We start from the raw sequence: 15590 nt of genomic DNA on the forward strand, positions 1-15590 counted from the left end.
GAGCCGACCTGGGTCAGGGCCTCGGGTGAGGCACATGTGGCCCTTTGTCACTTGGTTTCTCCGTTCTCATCCAACCCGATCCTCCCAGAACCACGAACCCCCTACATGAGCCAGACCCTTACCACGACACATCTCTGCCCTTTGTTCCTCCTGCCTTCCCATCTCTACAGAGCTCACCTGGATGAGGCCATGAGAGGACTGGCGGCTAGCAAGATCAGCCCCATCAAGACTGCTTGATGGGGAAAGAAAGTTCACCTGCTCTTCAAAGGCCCCTTGGCCGCATTTGCCTGGCAAAGCCTTCCCTGGTATTTGACATTGCACTGCTCTCCTTGTTCTCTGAATTACTAATTTAACCCTTACAGTCTTCTGCTGATTTGTGTACAACTATACAAGATTGGTGCTGGAGGGACTTCAGGCCCTTGTCCAAATGTCTCATTGCATGGAGGAAGGAAGGGTAAATGGCAGAAAGAGTCTTGTAAACTCTAAGTGCATGACAAACCCAGGGTTAAGTGCCTTGCTCAAGCTCACACTGCTAGCAAATCAGCAGAGTTAGGTCCCTAAACTCAAGCCTTTTTGCAGTGTCAGTTTGGGCCTCCTGGTCTGCCAGGTCCCAGGACAGTGGGATGCCGGGGACACCCCGTGGCCAGGACCTACTGTCCCAGTCTGATTCTCTGGGTTTCGGGCTCATCTCCCCAGGAAGCAGGGCTCCATGAGGGCAGCAGTTCCACTTTCCATAGCTTCTATATTGCCCTCCTCTCTCCACCCGTGGCTTCAGCAGGGAGCTGAAGACAGACATTAAATAGATACTGACTGATCCAGAGGTCACTGTCTAACATCTGGGTCTCCAGTTATGAGCTTTCCTGGGCAGTTCTTACTCCCAGCCCTGTCTGGGACCCTGCATGACTGCCCTGCCACTCACCTTGCTGGCACTGACCCAGACCCTAAGGTGTCACTGCTATGCCCATGTGCTCAGCCCCTGACCAGCCAGACTGACATCCCGTGTGCTCGTGCTCTCCCACCCAAGTCCATGCTTGTTCTCCCTCCGGAGCTGGAGGGCCTCATGCGTGCATGCCCATGCATGGTGCAGCACACACACATGCACACACACACCACCCAAAGGGCAGGAGCCCTCACCGCCGTGCGGAAGCGGGCCAGGAGGCGTGCCCGCTCCAGCTGGGCCCTGCGCTGCTCCATGCGTCGCTGCAGCACTGCCCACGCCTGCGTCACAGCTTGCTGCCTCTGCTGCACCGCATGGGCCTGAGGCCCCGGACACAGCTTCTGCACCCTGCCTGCAGTCTCCAGCAGTTCCTGCAGCTGCGGGAGGGGCAGGGAATAGGGAGGCAAGGGTCATGTCCTCCTGATTATCCCACAGATGTATCCCTTGCCTGGGAACTCTGGCCCCCTTGGGCCACGTCCTGCCATGCACAGGAGGCCCATGGGAGGCCCTGAGGGACAGTGGAAAATCTAGAGGAACAGGCAGGCCAGCCTGAGGGGGCTGCAGGGGCCTGGGTCGGAGAGGCAGCCAGCTGGGCTCACCTGCCGCTCGGTGCCCACGAGTTCTCGCTCCAGCCCCTGGTGGCTTCTCAGCTGCGCCTCCAGCCCACACAGGTCCCGTGCCACATTGTTGGGGAGGCTCGTGGCTTTCTCCTGAGGAAGGGAGAATGCCGAGGAGATGAGGGATGGAGCGTGGGCACTGAGCCTGGAGTGTATCCACTTCTAGCCACCCCTCCGGCTCACACCTGGACCTGGGTGAGGACTTCCAAGAGATCTCTGTGAACTCTGAGGGTGGTCTCGGTGTCTCGGAGCGCGTGGCCTCGGGCCTGGGTCAGCTCCCACAGCTCCGACCAGGCGGTCCTGCCCACGGCGTGTGGAAGACCAGCCGGGGATCAGCTGCCGGGCCGTGTCATTCCTCCCTCCCGCTAGGTCTGGTCAGCCCGCTCCTCTCTGAGTTGTATCGGGACTTGCCCAAAGCTCCTCCTTCTTAAAACCTCTCCCGCCTGTGGCCCTGCCTACGCACCTTCTTCCTGGGAGCCTGTCTTCTAGCTTTACCATGAATTCAGTGCTTTGCTGCTGTAATGCTCGGCACTGCATGGTATCTGTGCTGTGATACTCTTTACATCCTGTGCTTTGACTCACAGTGCGTCACCCAGGTTATGATCACAGACGCTTTGTGGGCAGAGGCCACATCTCTCCGTTCCTCGCTAACTCTGCAACTGGCTGAGCTCCTAAGGCTTCTGCCAGGCCAGGCTCTGGGCTAGGGGTTATGAGCAAGTCATGACCTTGCCTCAAAGCTCACAGGCTGGGAGTGGATCCAAATCAGCCAAGTGGACAGCTAGGAACCACACGAGGCATGGGCTGTCCCGAGTGAGCACAGGAGCTGGGGTAGCTCAGGGGAAGGCCCTGATGTCTGGCCCCACCATCTTCCCACAGCTCCTGCTCTCAATCCTGGGGGCAGGACTCTGACCTGCACACCCAGCCTCACCTTCCTTCACAGACCAGAGCCTGTGGCGGGCTCAGCTTCTCTGGAGCTAGGCCCCCTGCAGAGCCCCGTGGGCAGCCAGGGCCAGTGTGGCCCTCACAGCATGCCATCCTCTCTTACCACTCTGGGCCCTGCCTGCCCAGCTCCTTCCCCCAAACCCCATGCTGGCCTGGCCCGTTGGGCACTCACTGCAGATCCTGCTGCCTCTGACGGACCATGGGGCCAGCACTGTGCCCACGCTCTAGCAGGCTCTCCGCCAGCAGCCGGCAGGCGGCCACCCGCTGGCTGCCCATCTCCACTTGGTGCTGAAACTTTGCAAACTTGGTGCAGAGGTGCTGAGAAGAGGGGAGTGGGTGACAGGGTAGCCCCCAGCTGGTTAGGCGTCAAGCAGCCTGGGAATCGAGGCACCTCAGTGCCCAACTGGGTGATGTGGGCTTGGATAGCCACGGCGTCTGCCCGCTCCACTGAGGAGGCCCCACCTCAGCCAGGGCTCACCGCTCTGCTGCCACCTTCTTCCTCCGCCCCGCCAGAGCCAGCTTCCCCACCCCATAGGCTCTGCCTCAGGGCACCCTCCTTGACCCTGGCCCTCTTCTCACCAGGGCGTGCTCGGGGTCCTCTCCCAGGCTCTCCCCTCCTTTGGCTGCCTGCTTCTGGCTTGCCAGCCAGCCCTGCAGGTCCTCAGCCTCCCTCAGGAACTCATGCAGCCTCAGGGTCCCCTCCAGTTCCCGGTCCCTGTGGTAACAGTCCGTGGTTCCCCAGAAGTGAGTTGCCCACCCCCCTGGGGGCCAGTCGGGCCAGCCAGAGGGGCCAATCTGAAAACTGGGGTTACTCATGGTCTCTGTCCAAGCCTGCGGCTCACGATTCAGGGAGTAGTAGACACAGCAGTGCAGGTGTAGGGGCAGAGGAGGGTGTGGACGTGGGGAGATGGACTGCAGGGAGTTGTGGGGCCTCACTGAAGAATTTATGGAAAGAGGTGAGCAACACACACCCTTTTCCCAATGCATCTCTACAGCCTGGGGTCATGGGTTCTGATTGACTTTGGGCCATGGCATGGGAACAGTCAGCTGTGGCTAGGCCTCCTGTACCCACTGATGAGAGGGGTTATGGTGTCCTCACCGTGTGGCCGCCAACTCCTGCAGTGCCCGCAGCTGCTCCCGGAGCCTCTCCTGCACCACACGCTGCTGCTCAGGGACTTCGGGGCCAGTGAGGGTTTGGGCCGTCTGGTCAAGCTCCTCCATGGAGCTCCAGTAAATGGCTAGTTCCTCCTGTAGAGCCTATGATGCATGAGGACCCATGCCAGGCTCAGCCTGGGTGACTCATCCACCCACCTGTCCGTCCCCCACCCATCCAGTCACCAATCCTCATCCATTCACCCACCACTCACACGCCCATCCATCTACCTCAACTCATTCATCCACCCACCCAGCATCCATCTACCCATTACTGATGGAGTAAGTACTTATTGTTCCATAAAGTGAACACCTGGTCTGTGCCCACTGAGGGCTCATTATTTAGCAGGGAAAGGTGAATGCTGGCTAATCTGGGCCAAGGAAGGGAGGGCACAGGAGGCATTAGACTGGACCCCAACATCCATGTGTAAGAGAGAGGCAGAGTTAAACAAGCTGTCCAGTATAGCCGGGAGATGGGTGCTCCGTGAGGCCAAGGCTACAGGCCTTTAGAAAGACCTTCTCTGAAGGTCCTGTCGCAGAACACACTGGAACTGGGGCTGTGCAGGAAACATGCCCAGACAGGAGGACAGTTCAGTGACAGCAGGAACCGGGACTGCCGTGGGCTCCAGGCTTTGAAGCTTGTGTGGTTCTGGGAGTCCGAATTCAGGAGTGAGGAAGGGGACTTCGAGACCTCCCTCCCTTCAGCCAGGGGATGTTTGTGGGAGGAGGTCGGCTTCATGAAGGGCATTTGGTTAACTCAAAGGATGACAGGTAAAGCCTGGGAGGAAGACACCTGTGGGAGATGTGGAGCGGGCTGGGCAGGTGACCTTGACAGAGGAGAAAGGTGCCAGGGGTGGGGTAGAGAGGAAGCAAGAGGAGGCGGAGAAACCCCAAGGCCACAGGGAGAGGCAAGACTCGTAAGAAGATGAAGGGAGAAAGCGTGTACATCACAGTGCCCAGGTTGCCTTGGAAGAAGGGGCACTGTGGGATCTGGGTGGGAAGTGGGGATGGGGCTGTCTGTGTCTCCAGGAAGCAAGAGCAGGGCTCCGTGCCTCTGAGAGAGGGAGGGTGACAGCCCTCTCCCCGTGGTCCATCATCACCCAGACCACACTGCAGGGGAGGCTCAGGACGTGGTACCTGGTGCTTGTTAATGAGCCTGAGGGTGGCTGCCTCGTCTCTGCCATAGTCCCGACTGCTCACCAGCGGCCGCTTCTCCTCCACCCAGCCCTCCAGCTCTGACACATCCAGAAAGTACTGCCAAGAGTGGGGCCAACTCACCTGGAGGATCTCAGACAGGACCCTCCGTCAGCCCTGGAGACATCTGCCCCTGCTCTCCAGCATCAAAGGGGCTTCTGTGCCCATAGGGGCACCCATCAGCTCCCAGCCCAGAGCCCCCACCACTGATCCGCCTCCCTGAGAGTCCCACAGGTGGCCCCTCAAGGAGCCCTGACTTCTGCCTCTTCCCCCAACCCCACCTCTCTGCATCCTACCTGCTGGAAAGTGACAGCCTGCTGCAGACACTGGGCCCGCGCTTCACATGCCCTCTCCAGCTCTGCCCAGTGGCCTTCCAGCTCCTGGCACTGCTCCACGATGTGTTGGGCTTGGGGGTGCCCTGAGGCTGCCAGGCTCCGCCCAGAACTCAGCACCCGTTGCACCTGCCCCTGGTGAGCTTTTACCTCCACCTGGAGCTCCTGCCACAGAGTGGCTTGAGAGGCTGCTGCTCTTAACCCAGGGGCGTCCGGAGCAGAGCCATGGATGTGGCTCCAGGCCCCAATCATGGCAAGACCCCCAGGGTCAAAATAGCTGGGGCAGAGATTTGGAAATTGGGATACCCAGGGGTGAGGGCTTAGAGGCCAGGACACCTGAGTAGGGGCAGAGGGTTTCTAAGGTCTGGGAAGCGGATGTCGGTAATCCTGTAGGAAGAAGAGGGCTATTACCTTGTGCTTGCGGTGAAGGCTCTGGGCACCATTCAAGCACTCGGTATAGCTGGTGGGGCTGCCATGGGGCATGTGCTCGGCTACCCAAGAGAGCTCCATGTTGCTCAGGTGGCAGAACTGGTGCAGCTCCACTGAGGCCTGCAGCTGCAGGCCCCGGATGGCCAGATGCCCCTGCAGAAGCTCCAGCCTAGGAGGAGGAGGAAGAGATTGGAGAGGTTGGGAACAGAGTGAGCACAAGGCTCCTGGTTCTTTCCTTGGCCAAGCCAGGGCCCGTGAAGAACAAGACCAGGGAATAGAGCAAAGCCTCATCTGACAAAGGGAGGCAGTGGAAGGGCGCCAGGGCCCCACCTCATGGCCTAGATGACTCGCGTGACTGCACTGTGGGGGTCCTGCTAAGGAAGCATAATGGGGTCTCCGACCCTCCCATCCCAGAATGACTCTACTCATAAGGGAGGAGGTCTGGACACCCCGGTCCTGTGGGTGCCATCTTGTGGGACCTTAAATTCACATGGAGGAGTGACACACAGGTGGGTGGGAGGACAGACCCCACCTCCGGAGGTGCTTCTGGGTCTCTTCCAGGATGGCCGGGGAGGCGGCCATGCCATGGGCCATGGAGGCGAGGGCAGCCATCTTGGCAGCCAGGGTCCGGCTCTCACTCTCCAGCTGTTGGTGCCGTTTCTGCAGCCTCTGGCTGGAGCGCAGGTCCTGCCCTGTTTCCGAGCTCTGTAGGGCCCCTTCGAGCTGCTCCAGCTGCTCCTTTGCATCCTGGGAGGGACGCATGGAGCTGCATTAGGTTCTCTGTGTACAGCACAGCAAGTGGCCTTCCCGGGCTCTGGGACTGTTGGACTTTTAGGACCAGATTCACCAGGGAGCTCTGTCCCCACCACTGCCAACCCTCGGCCAGAAGTGCCCAATCTTCCCCTGTTCCCTCACGCTTCTTCTTCCCTGGGGGACTCAAGTGGTGCTGACCACCCGCTGGGCACACAGGAGAGAATCCTGCATTGGCCGACTGAGCGGAAAGCCACGCTCAGCTTGTCCTAGGCCAGAAGCCTCCAGAGGCTGCAGAGCCAGGGTCAGCAGAACACCCAGACTTCTCCCTCCCCGTTCTGTCCAGCCCAGCCAGGCCTCCGTCTCCCTCTTGTGCCCTGTCCCTCTTCCCAGTGGACCTGCAGCTGCCTCAGGAGTTGCTCCTGCTGTCCAGCCTGCTGGAGCTCGTCCCCACGCTCAGTCATCTTGCGGTTCAAAGCTTCCCACTTGCTTCTCAGGCCTTGAAGCCTGGTCTGTATGTCCTCCTGGCCACAGGGCCTCCTACTCAACAGCTCTCTCCCAACCTGGAGTGGAGATAAAGGCCCAGGGAGTTTGGCTGAGCTGCTGGTACCACCAGTGGCCGCAGCAGGCTGGACCTGGGTGGCAGTGGAGGTGAGGGGGTGACCACAGCTGCACTCCACGGGCTGCCTGGAAGAAAGCAGTTCATGTGGCCCCAAAACTGCAGGTAGGGGGGCTTTCCTCTGACCCCTGCAAATAGAGCGGGGTGAGCCGGCATTAGGTTGGTGGCTGGGGAGAGCCGTGTTCTGGTAGAGGTGGCCGGCTCTGGGACTTGCCACGGAGAGTTGTAGGGGAAGGGATGGATGGCAGCAGCTTTGGGACTGGTTTGGGTGCCAAGGGGATGCCAGCAGCATCAAGGAGGCTTGCAGGGGGAGGTTCTAGGTTCACGCTGAGGCTGATTTTTCCTTCAAAGACTCTTCCATGAAAACAGGTGGTGCAGTAGGGTTGGGAATTTGAAGACAAGGAGGCTCTGCACCCTCTGTCCCGTGTCCCCCACCTGCTGCAGGGCCTCCACGTGTCTGCGGGTGGCGAGTAGCTCGCTCTCAGCTGCTTCGTGCCGCTTGAGTGTCTGCAGGATGTTTCTGCGCGCTCCGGAGGGCTCATGCGCAGCCATCAGCCCCTTCTCTTCCATCCACTGCATCAGCTCTGCCACATCCTGCTTCCACTCCTGCCAAGAACCAGGCGAGAGTGGGTCTCAGAGCACGGTGGGTGGGGGCTGGTGCCTAGCCCTGCATCTGAGGGTGGTGTGGCCACAGCCCCTGTTTTCCTCCTCAGGAAAAACCTGAGCTGTGTTGCCTGCCTCACAGAAGGTGTTGAGAGGATGAATGACATAGCGCGTGAGGAAAGTGCTCTGTAGGCTGCACAGAGCTCTGTACGGTCTCAGGCTTTCTTTTCAGGGAGGCGTCATGCGACCTGGGCCCAGACCCTCACCTGGAGCTGGAGGGAAGCCAGCAACTGCCTCCTCCTCTGCTCACTCCTCCCCTGGAGCCTGGTCCACTGTGCCTGGATACTCTGCAGCTGCTCTCTGACCCTGGAGGGCGGGGGGGGGTTGGAGGAGGGCATGGGAGAGGACTCCCACCCCAGCACGAGGTGCACTCTCCCCCACCCCCTACTCTCCCAGCCCTAGGGCGGCCGTCTGTGCAGGCTGAGAAAGGGTCATCTGCAGGTGCTGCAGACTGAGGCCAGGCTCACGTGTGTGCAGCTGGGTGCTGGCTCTGAACCAGCTTCTCGCCGTGTGCCCGCAGAGCCTCTGCCCGAGGCCCCAGGGTGCTCAGGAGCCGCCCAAACTCCCGGTGCTGCTGCAGCAGGCTCAGGGCCTCCCTCACGTCCTCCTGGGAGTGCAGAGACCTGAGGTCATGCCTGGGAGAATGGGGGTCAGGACCATCTCACCCGCCACTGCCCCAGGGGCCTCCTGCCCAGCCTGGCTTCTGGACTCAAGGGGATGAGCTCCCTCCAGTGATGGGGAGTGACAGCCTAGCTCCACATTCCTGCTCCATACCCCAAGGTTGTCCAGGTGCAGCCAGGCCTGGTGGTTGGCACAGGTGGCAGTGAAACCATCCACTTCTCGGCCAAACTTCTGCAGCTCCAGCCCCTCTTGCAGCCACTGCTGCCTCTGCTCCCACAAAACCTTCAGCTCCTGGCCCTGCTGCCCCAGGACCCTCAGAGTGTTGGGCACCTCTTGGGAGTCTGGGCAGTCCAAGGCTGCCATGGGCTGGCTCTGAGCGTCCAGCTGCTGCAGCCTGACCAGGATGACAGGCAGAGAGTCAAACCCCAGCAGGCTCCCTCGTCAGCCTCCTTCTCCTCTCACCTCCAGGGTTCACGCATCTTGGATCATGAATGAGACACTGAATGTGATAGGCCCAGCAGAGTGCTTAGGGTGCAGGGGTTCCCAATCCCCCATCGGCTCCAGCCGGCCGTCCTTAAGTGTGGACTGCCAACAGCCGATGCCCGGCCTAGAGGACATGCGGAGGCAGCACAGTGTGAGAGAGAAAAATCACGCAAGCCACAAAAGCACCTGACCGCAGGGCCACTGCAAGCCCCCATGGAGGCTTTGAACAATCAGAAAAGGTGCTCCTTTCAGCAGGTGGCTTGGGAACAGGTAACACCCTTGTGTGAATTAGAGCAAGGCTCCACTTCCTCTGAGCCGCTGCAGAACCAGGTACTGGAGTCTGGCAAGCTGAGGGCCAGATGCATTTCAGTGCCCACTTGGCCACCTGTCAAGTGCCTTCAGGAGGGGCACAGCCTGTGGACTGTCCCTGGTGGCCTTGCCTGCCTGCCAGCCCATAACGTCATCCCTGCAGGAGGAGAGGCGCCACCTTACTAAGGAGGTGGGGATCTCAGACCCGTGGGTGGGTCCTGAGCCATTCCACTTAGGGGCCGCTGGGGTCCGTGTTACCAGGACGGCAGGGGGGGCTAGACGCCCTGACTGAAAGCAATGCATCGGGCCCACCTGGAGGGGGCCAGCCGGGCCTGGGCTGCAGAGAGCCTCCCAGGCAGCTCAGTGTCCTGGGTCTCTCCTCGAAGTGTACAGGCTGCCTGACCCAGTCCTAGATTATATCCTCCTCTGTGTAAACTTGCCTCAAGCAGCATGCCAGACACCAACCAGTCTGGGCCCCTCCCTGGGGAAATCACACTACTTCCCGCATGCTCTTTCTGGGCCTGAACCCAGAGCCCAGAGCCCTGGTCCCAGCCCAAAGTGCACCCCTTCTGCCCTCCTGTCCTGACCTCTCCTGCCACAGGTGGATCTCCTCCAGCAGGTCTTGGTGCTCCCTCAGCAGCCGCTGAGCCGAGGCCACATCCACTGACACCTCCTTGCTGCGCAGCTGAGCCTGGACACTCTCTGCCCACAGTAGCAGTTGCTGGCTCTCTTGCAGGAAGCTCTGCCGGGCCTGAGTCTCAGCCTGGCGCCGGGCCCGTTGGGCCACTTGTTCCTGTACTTGCTTCAGCAGCCCCTGCAGTGTCTCCACCTGTCCTTGCAGAGGCTGGCTCTCTGCGTAGCCTGGCTCCTCGACCCTGGGAGACAGGGTGCGCTGCACAGTCAGTGCCCTGTCCTGGGCCTGGTGCCCCAGGCACATGTCCTCTCTCCAAACCTGCATCCCCCAGGGAGAGTGGTGCTGACTCTCAATGCCCACCCCACCCTTGACCTGGGGGCAGCAAGAACATAGGGCTCGCCAGGTGCAGTGGCTCAAGCCTGTAATCCCAGCACTTTGGGAGGCCGAGGCAGGCAGATCACGAGGTCAGGAGATCGAGACCATCCCGGCTAAAACGGTGAAACCCCGTCTCTACTAAAAATACAAAAATTAGCCAGGCATGGTGGTGGGCGCCTGTAGTCCCAGCTACTTGGGAGGCTGAGGCAGGAGAATGGCGTGAACCCGGGAGGCTGAGCTTCCAGTGAGCCGAGATCACGCCACTGCACTCAGCCCGGGCGACAGAGCAAGACTCCGTCTCAAAAAGAAATAAAAAAACATAGGGCTCTTCCTGTCCCCAGGACCATTTTCTCCTGATCATCCCCCCATCTTTGCCACAGCCCTCCTACCTGTTGTCTCCCCATCCCAATTTCTGTCCCTTCCTCATTCCACTGCCCTGCCCACGCCTTCCCATGGTCCTCACTGCCTCCCAATGCCACCACTGCGCTGGCCGTACTTTACGACCACACTTTGGAGGAAGTGGACCCTCCTCTCCAGCACCAGGGTCTTCTTCTGGGCCAGCTGCAGGGCGTGGCAGGTGTCCTCTGAGCTCCCTGGCTGCAGGGCCTCCAGCTGGAGGAGCACGTCTCGCAGCTGGACCTGTGTGGGTCCACACTCCTGCAGAAAACTGCACACTTCCACACTGTGTGCCAGCTGCACGGCCTTCTCCCTCTTCAGGGCCTCCAGCTGCCCCCACCTGGGCAGAGGGTACAAGGTTGTCTCCACAACAGGGACACCTCCCCATCCATCCGGGAGCCTTGGCCAGAGCCTCACGTGACAGAAGCTGCCAGACTGGCTGTCCCTTGCCCCTTCCCTGTGCCTCGGACACGTCCAGCCTCTCCATCTGGCATGGCGGGAGGCAGGTGAGTCAGGCCCAGGCTGGGCACTGTGTCTGCCTGCCTCACCACCTGCACTCCTGCCTCATTCTCACCTCTGGCTCAGTTCCTCCTGCTGTCGTTGGATTTGTGTGGAGTTCCCAGGATATCTCTGCCTCAGTTGCTCAGCAGAGCTGCTGACCTCAGCCCAGAGGCCCTTTCCCACAGCCAGGGCAGTGAGGAAGTTCTAGGGAAAAGGAGGACCCAGCCCTCTTGGGGGACTTTTTCTCTTTCCACACTCCCCTCTAGCCTATGACGGACCTGAGTGGTGCTCTCTGCTACAGGGATGCTCATGCTGCCTGCCCCTGGAAAGACAGCCATCCGAGTCCTTAAGGGCCAGGAGGCCCTCGAAATTCAGGCCAGCTCTCTGCTCCCCTCCCCCAGGCAGGACGGTAGTTAAATTGGAAAACTGAGTCACAGCAGCAGACCACAGGGAGGCAGGGGCAAGGCGAGGAGGAGGTGCCAAGCTCCCAGGGCTGTACCTCATATTTGAGCTGCATGACCTCCAGGGTGTCAGCCTGGGGCTGCACCCTTTGGAGCAGCACTGTCTGCTTCTCCAGCCACAACTGGAGCTCCCCACAGGAACTGCAGAAACCGAACAGGGCCATGGCCTCCTCCAACCGGGCCCTGCGGAGCTGGGGAGAGGTGGCCCAAGGCTGGGGTGAGGGTCAGGGCCCCCGACAGGGCTCTCAGAGCGGGTCAAAGGGGTGCTCCTCCCCATCCCAGCCCACCAGCAGAGCCCAGGGTCAGGGCCAGAGGGGGTCCCTGCCTCACTGCTGGGCCCCACATCCTCTCTCAGAGCCCTCTTGGCACCACCTGGAGGGAGATGGCAAGGGCTTAGGGAAGGGTAAAGGGCACTGGCAGTGTGCTCCTGTCTGGTCTTGCCCTGCTGAAACCTCTCAGTGCCAGCCCTGCTCTAAGGTGAAATCCACGCCGCTCCCTCTGCCTGCTCCACCCCCACCTGCCTCTCTAGTCTCTCCTCTGGCCATGGCCTCCCCAGCGTCTGTGCTGCAGGGACCTGGGCCTTCGCTTCCTCCGCTGGGCCCCCTTCCTACCTTTGCACAGGTCCTGGCCAGCACCCCTGGGTTTACCTGCTTTCTGTTTCTCATTCAAGCCTCAGCTTAAAAGTCCTTCCCTCCAAGGTGCCTTCCCTGACCTCCAGCCTGACCTGGGCTACCTTCTCATGTGATCCCATCACACCTGCATCTAATGAGTTGTCTGACATCTTCTCAGCCATGATAAAAGCTCCTTGAGGACAGGGAACATGTCAGTCACTGCCTTGTCCCCTGGGATCACTGCACAGGAGCTGCTGGCACAGAGTAAGGACTCGAGCATTTCTTGAAAAAGAAGTGTTACCTGTGCCAGGGCCCGCAGACTCTCATAGTCCTGACTCAAGTGGTCCTGTGTCTGGAGTATAGTGTTGGGATCAAAGTCAGGGTCAGGCTCAGCTGGGAGGGCCATCTTCCAGGCATCCCCAGGGCCAGGGTGGCAGGAAGCCTCACTCCAGGGCCCTGGGTTCCTCAGGCTTTCTCCTGGAGGGCTCAGGGCAGAGTTCACCTGTGTGACAAAGGGCAGCGCGTCTACAGGCGACCCCATCAAGCAGCAGGGGCTTTGGCCAGGCCACCCCTACCTCCGTGCCCTGAGACCTGGAGGCGCTGAGCTGTAGCTCAAAGGGTGTGTGGGACATGGGTCTGGGGGACAGGAAGCTTCCTTGGGGCTGAGGGTCGAGGGGCCAAACGTGAGCACAGGATCTGATGGCTTTGATTTCCACATCGTGTGCTGCATACACAGCTTCTTGAAAGAGGGCTGTGAGCCAAGCTATACGTGTTTTAAAGAACTTTGGGGGCTCAATGAACTGAGCAAGGGGTGTCAGAAGGCAGTCTGGGTGAGTGATGAGGCCACCCCAAACCAACAAGGCGGGCTAAGTCAGGAGAGACAGTCACTACTGGCCTGGGTGAAAGTGGAGGGGACCTTCCTGGAGGAAAGTGCTTAACGGTCTGAAACTGCCGGCAACAGGAGCCAGGCCAAGCTGTATTTGGATGCCCTCGGTTGACGTGGGCAGACAGGATTCCACTACTTCTGGGCTAGGTCAACAAGTGAGATGCCACTGAGGACTGGGGTGAGGGACACCTACACCCACGGGAAGGCCACGAATCCTGGGCCAGAGGCCACAAAGGCCCTCCCATTTTTGTCCTCTGTGTGGCCCAGCCGCGGTGGAGCAAGGGAGACCAGGCGCCCTTCCCTGTCCCCGTCCTCACCGTGAATAACGACGCCCGGGCCGAGGCCGCCCGCCCCTGCTCCTCCAGCCGCCGCAGCTCGGCCGCGAAGGCGCGCAGGACGCGCTCCAGCCGCACGTGGCGCCTCAGCAGGGTCTCGGCGGCCGCCTGGTCCTGACCGCAGGACGCTCTCTCCAGCGAGGATCGCCGCTCGCGCAGCCACGAAGCCGCCTCCGCCGCGTCCGCGAAGTACTGTGGGAGGGGGTCGGGGGTGGTGTGGGTGAAGGGGCGCGGCTGAGCGCGGGCAGGTGCTGGCACCCCCACCCCCGCCTCGCCGGGCCCCGCCCCCACCCCGCCTCCACCCCTCCCCACTACCTGCAGGACCAGCAGGGCTGTCTGCAGCCGTGCGCCCCGCCCCACCACCCGGGTCTGGAGCAGCTGCCACCCTCCCTGAACGGCCTCTGCCCGTTCCCCGGGATCCGGCTGCGTTGGGGGCCTGCGGGCGCTGAGGTCGCGTCCCCTCCGCACGAGATCTACGCACACGGCCTGGTGGCGGTGGACCTCAGCTTCCAGGGCCTAGCGGGGGGCAGAGCAGGGGGCTCAGTGAAGGCAGAACAGGGGAGGGGGCCGGGGGCCCGAGAGGGAAGGGCAAGGCGCTGGCGACCGGCGGGCGCGCTCGGGGAGCTGACACCTTGTGTTTCTGCAGGGCGCCTGCGATCTGGCTGAGATCCCGGCCCAGGGCCGCATTCCCCACCCGCTGTCCGCACTCCTTCAGCCAGGCTTCCTCCTCCTCACAGTTGCGCAGGAACTCTGCCCGCTGCAGGGTCTGCTCCAGCAGGGCCCGCCTGAGGGACAATAGGGGCCACCGAAGGACATGGGGAGTCGTGAGGCATGGGCAGTGGGTTCCCCTCCGGGTTTAGACACTCCCCTTAGACAGGATTTTTCTTTTCCCTGGATGACTCAACAGGTGAGACGGAGGCTTTGGAAGTGAGGGTCAGTGTGGAGAAAACTGGCAGGCCAACAGTACTTTAACCTGGGCAGGAGATAATTTGGGTTACAGAAAAGTTCTGGGAAAGGTGGAAGAGTTGGGGCAGGCTCTTACCGGGCCCTGACAAGAGCCACCAGGCTCTGTTGGAGCTGGGCCAGTGTCCTGGCCTTGGCCTGCAGCACCTCCACACTGGTGCCCAGGGAGGAGTCCAGCTCTGCTGTCTGCTGAGCAAGATGGCTCACATGGGCTCCGTGGGCCGAGACTTGAGCCTCCAGCAGGTCATGCCTCTGCAGCAGCTCCACCACTTCTGCCAGCTGCTGCCCACAGGCGGTGGACCTGGCCGGCTCCTGGCCAGAGATGATGGTCATTGCAGTGGTCCCAAGGTGCTGGGTCCCTCTGAGCACTGGCACTGGGGAAGTCCCCCACCTTGCTGTGTTTCCCAAGGGCCTGCTGGTCCAGTGCCCACCTGCAGCTCCTCCAGCTGGTGGGAGGCAGCCTCCACCTCCTGCAGCAGGCTCAGCACAGCCTGCATGTCTGCCACCTGCTTCCTCTGTCCCTGTAGATGCTGAAGGAGCCTCTGCCAGCGCACGGTAACTTCCTCCTGCCTAGAGGATATGAGAATAAGGGAGATCTCCTCTGGGTTGGGGCAGGGAAGCTACTTCAGGGTTCCTGGTCTGTGGTGGGGCTTGGCTGCCCTGGAAGAGTCTGACCTCCATGGCTGGGGCAAGGTCTATGGACTCTGACAGCATCCTGGCAGGCGGTGGTAGAGGCAGTGTGTCCTACCTTTGGACACATGCAGAGAAGCCAGAAGGAGGGCCTGGAAGGATCAGGCCTTTGGGGCCCCCTAACTTGGATGCAGTCCCCATTTCAGTTGATGAAAACTCCATCCTTCCAGGCGCCCAGACTAAAATCTTTTTTTTTTTCTTTTGAGACAGAATCTGCTCTGTCACCCAGGCTAGAATGCAGTGGTGCAATCTTGGCTCACTGCAACCTCCACCTCCCGGGTTCAAGTGACTTTCCTGCCTCAGCCACCTGAGTAGCTGGGATTACAGGCATGGGCCACCATGCCCGGCTAATTTTTGTATTTTTATTTTTATTTTTATTTTTTATTTATTTATTTTTGAGACAGAGTCTCACTCCTTCGCCCAGGCCGGACTGCGGTGGCACGATCTCGGCTCACTGCCAGCTCCGCCTCCCAGGTTCATGCCATTCTCCTGCCTCAGCATCCCGAGTAGCTGGGACTACAGGTGCCCGCCACCACACCTGGCTAATTTTTTTGTATTTTTAGTAGAGACGGGGTTTCACTGTGTTAGCCAGGATGGTCTTGATCTCTTGACCTCGTGATCTGCCCGCCTCAGCCTCCCAAAGTGCTGGGATTACAGGCATGAGCCACTGCGCCCGGCCAATTTTTGTAT

At 60.6% G+C, this 15590-nt stretch overlaps 1 protein-coding gene across 5 annotated transcripts in view, besides 2 other annotated features; it reads right to left on the reverse strand.

Moving 5' to 3' along the window:
• SPTBN5 (spectrin beta, non-erythrocytic 5) overlaps positions 1 to 15590 on the reverse strand; it is a 45908-nt gene that overhangs the window by 20561 nt on the left and 9757 nt on the right. For 4 of the 5 annotated variants that reach the window (XR_001751302.2, XR_001751303.2, NM_016642.4 and 1 more), the window contains 25 exons: positions 14642 to 14780; positions 14290 to 14522; positions 13879 to 14032; positions 13563 to 13763; positions 13230 to 13439; positions 12328 to 12528; positions 11454 to 11606; positions 11028 to 11158; positions 10554 to 10793; positions 9636 to 9923; positions 8410 to 8650; positions 8103 to 8242; positions 7842 to 7941; positions 7408 to 7578; positions 6752 to 6916; positions 6136 to 6350; positions 5586 to 5772; positions 5139 to 5339; positions 4786 to 4902; positions 3596 to 3753; positions 3076 to 3211; positions 2669 to 2814; positions 1740 to 1854; positions 1537 to 1647; positions 1135 to 1314 (listed from right to left, as the gene is read on the reverse strand). Coding sequence is in view for 3 of the 5 variants with exons in the window: in NM_016642.4 (NP_057726.4) it covers positions 1135 to 1314; positions 1537 to 1647; positions 1740 to 1854; positions 2669 to 2814; positions 3076 to 3211; positions 3596 to 3753; positions 4786 to 4902; positions 5139 to 5339; positions 5586 to 5772; positions 6136 to 6350; positions 6752 to 6916; positions 7408 to 7578; positions 7842 to 7941; positions 8103 to 8242; positions 8410 to 8650; positions 9636 to 9923; positions 10554 to 10793; positions 11028 to 11158; positions 11454 to 11606; positions 12328 to 12528; positions 13230 to 13439; positions 13563 to 13763; positions 13879 to 14032; positions 14290 to 14522; positions 14642 to 14780 (4333 nt within the window). In the remaining 2 variants the exon portion in view is untranslated. Of the gene's footprint in view, positions 1 to 1134; positions 1315 to 1536; positions 1648 to 1739; positions 1855 to 2668; positions 2815 to 3075; positions 3212 to 3595; positions 3754 to 4785; positions 4903 to 5138; positions 5340 to 5585; positions 5773 to 6135; positions 6351 to 6751; positions 6917 to 7407; positions 7579 to 7841; positions 7942 to 8102; positions 8243 to 8409; positions 8651 to 9635; positions 9924 to 10553; positions 10794 to 11027; positions 11159 to 11453; positions 11607 to 12327; positions 12529 to 13229; positions 13440 to 13562; positions 13764 to 13878; positions 14033 to 14289; positions 14523 to 14641; positions 14781 to 15590 lie in introns of those variants that run through there. The other variant, XM_017022302.2, reaches the window with a different exon arrangement.
• Positions 1048 to 1308: a silencer, noted in NCBI's record as "fragment chr15:42161952-42162212 (GRCh37/hg19 assembly coordinates)". NCBI's record gives its function as "represses an EF-1alpha promoter that drives an FKBP-Casp9 reporter gene in an ReSE screen in HepG2 liver carcinoma cells {active_cell/tissue: HepG2}" and the evidence as "EXISTENCE:reporter gene assay evidence [ECO:0000049][PMID:32094911]".
• Positions 9243 to 9744: an enhancer, noted in NCBI's record as "H3K4me1 hESC enhancer chr15:42170147-42170648 (GRCh37/hg19 assembly coordinates)". NCBI's record gives its function as "activates a minimal SCP1, AML or CMV promoter by ChIP-STARR-seq in naive H9 embryonic stem cells {active_cell/tissue: H9 hESC(naive)}" and the evidence as "EXISTENCE:reporter gene assay evidence [ECO:0000049][PMID:30033119]".

This window comes from Homo sapiens, chromosome 15, assembly GCF_000001405.40.
Source record: "Homo sapiens chromosome 15, GRCh38.p14 Primary Assembly".
Classification (NCBI taxonomy): Eukaryota; Metazoa; Chordata; class Mammalia; order Primates; family Hominidae; genus Homo; species Homo sapiens.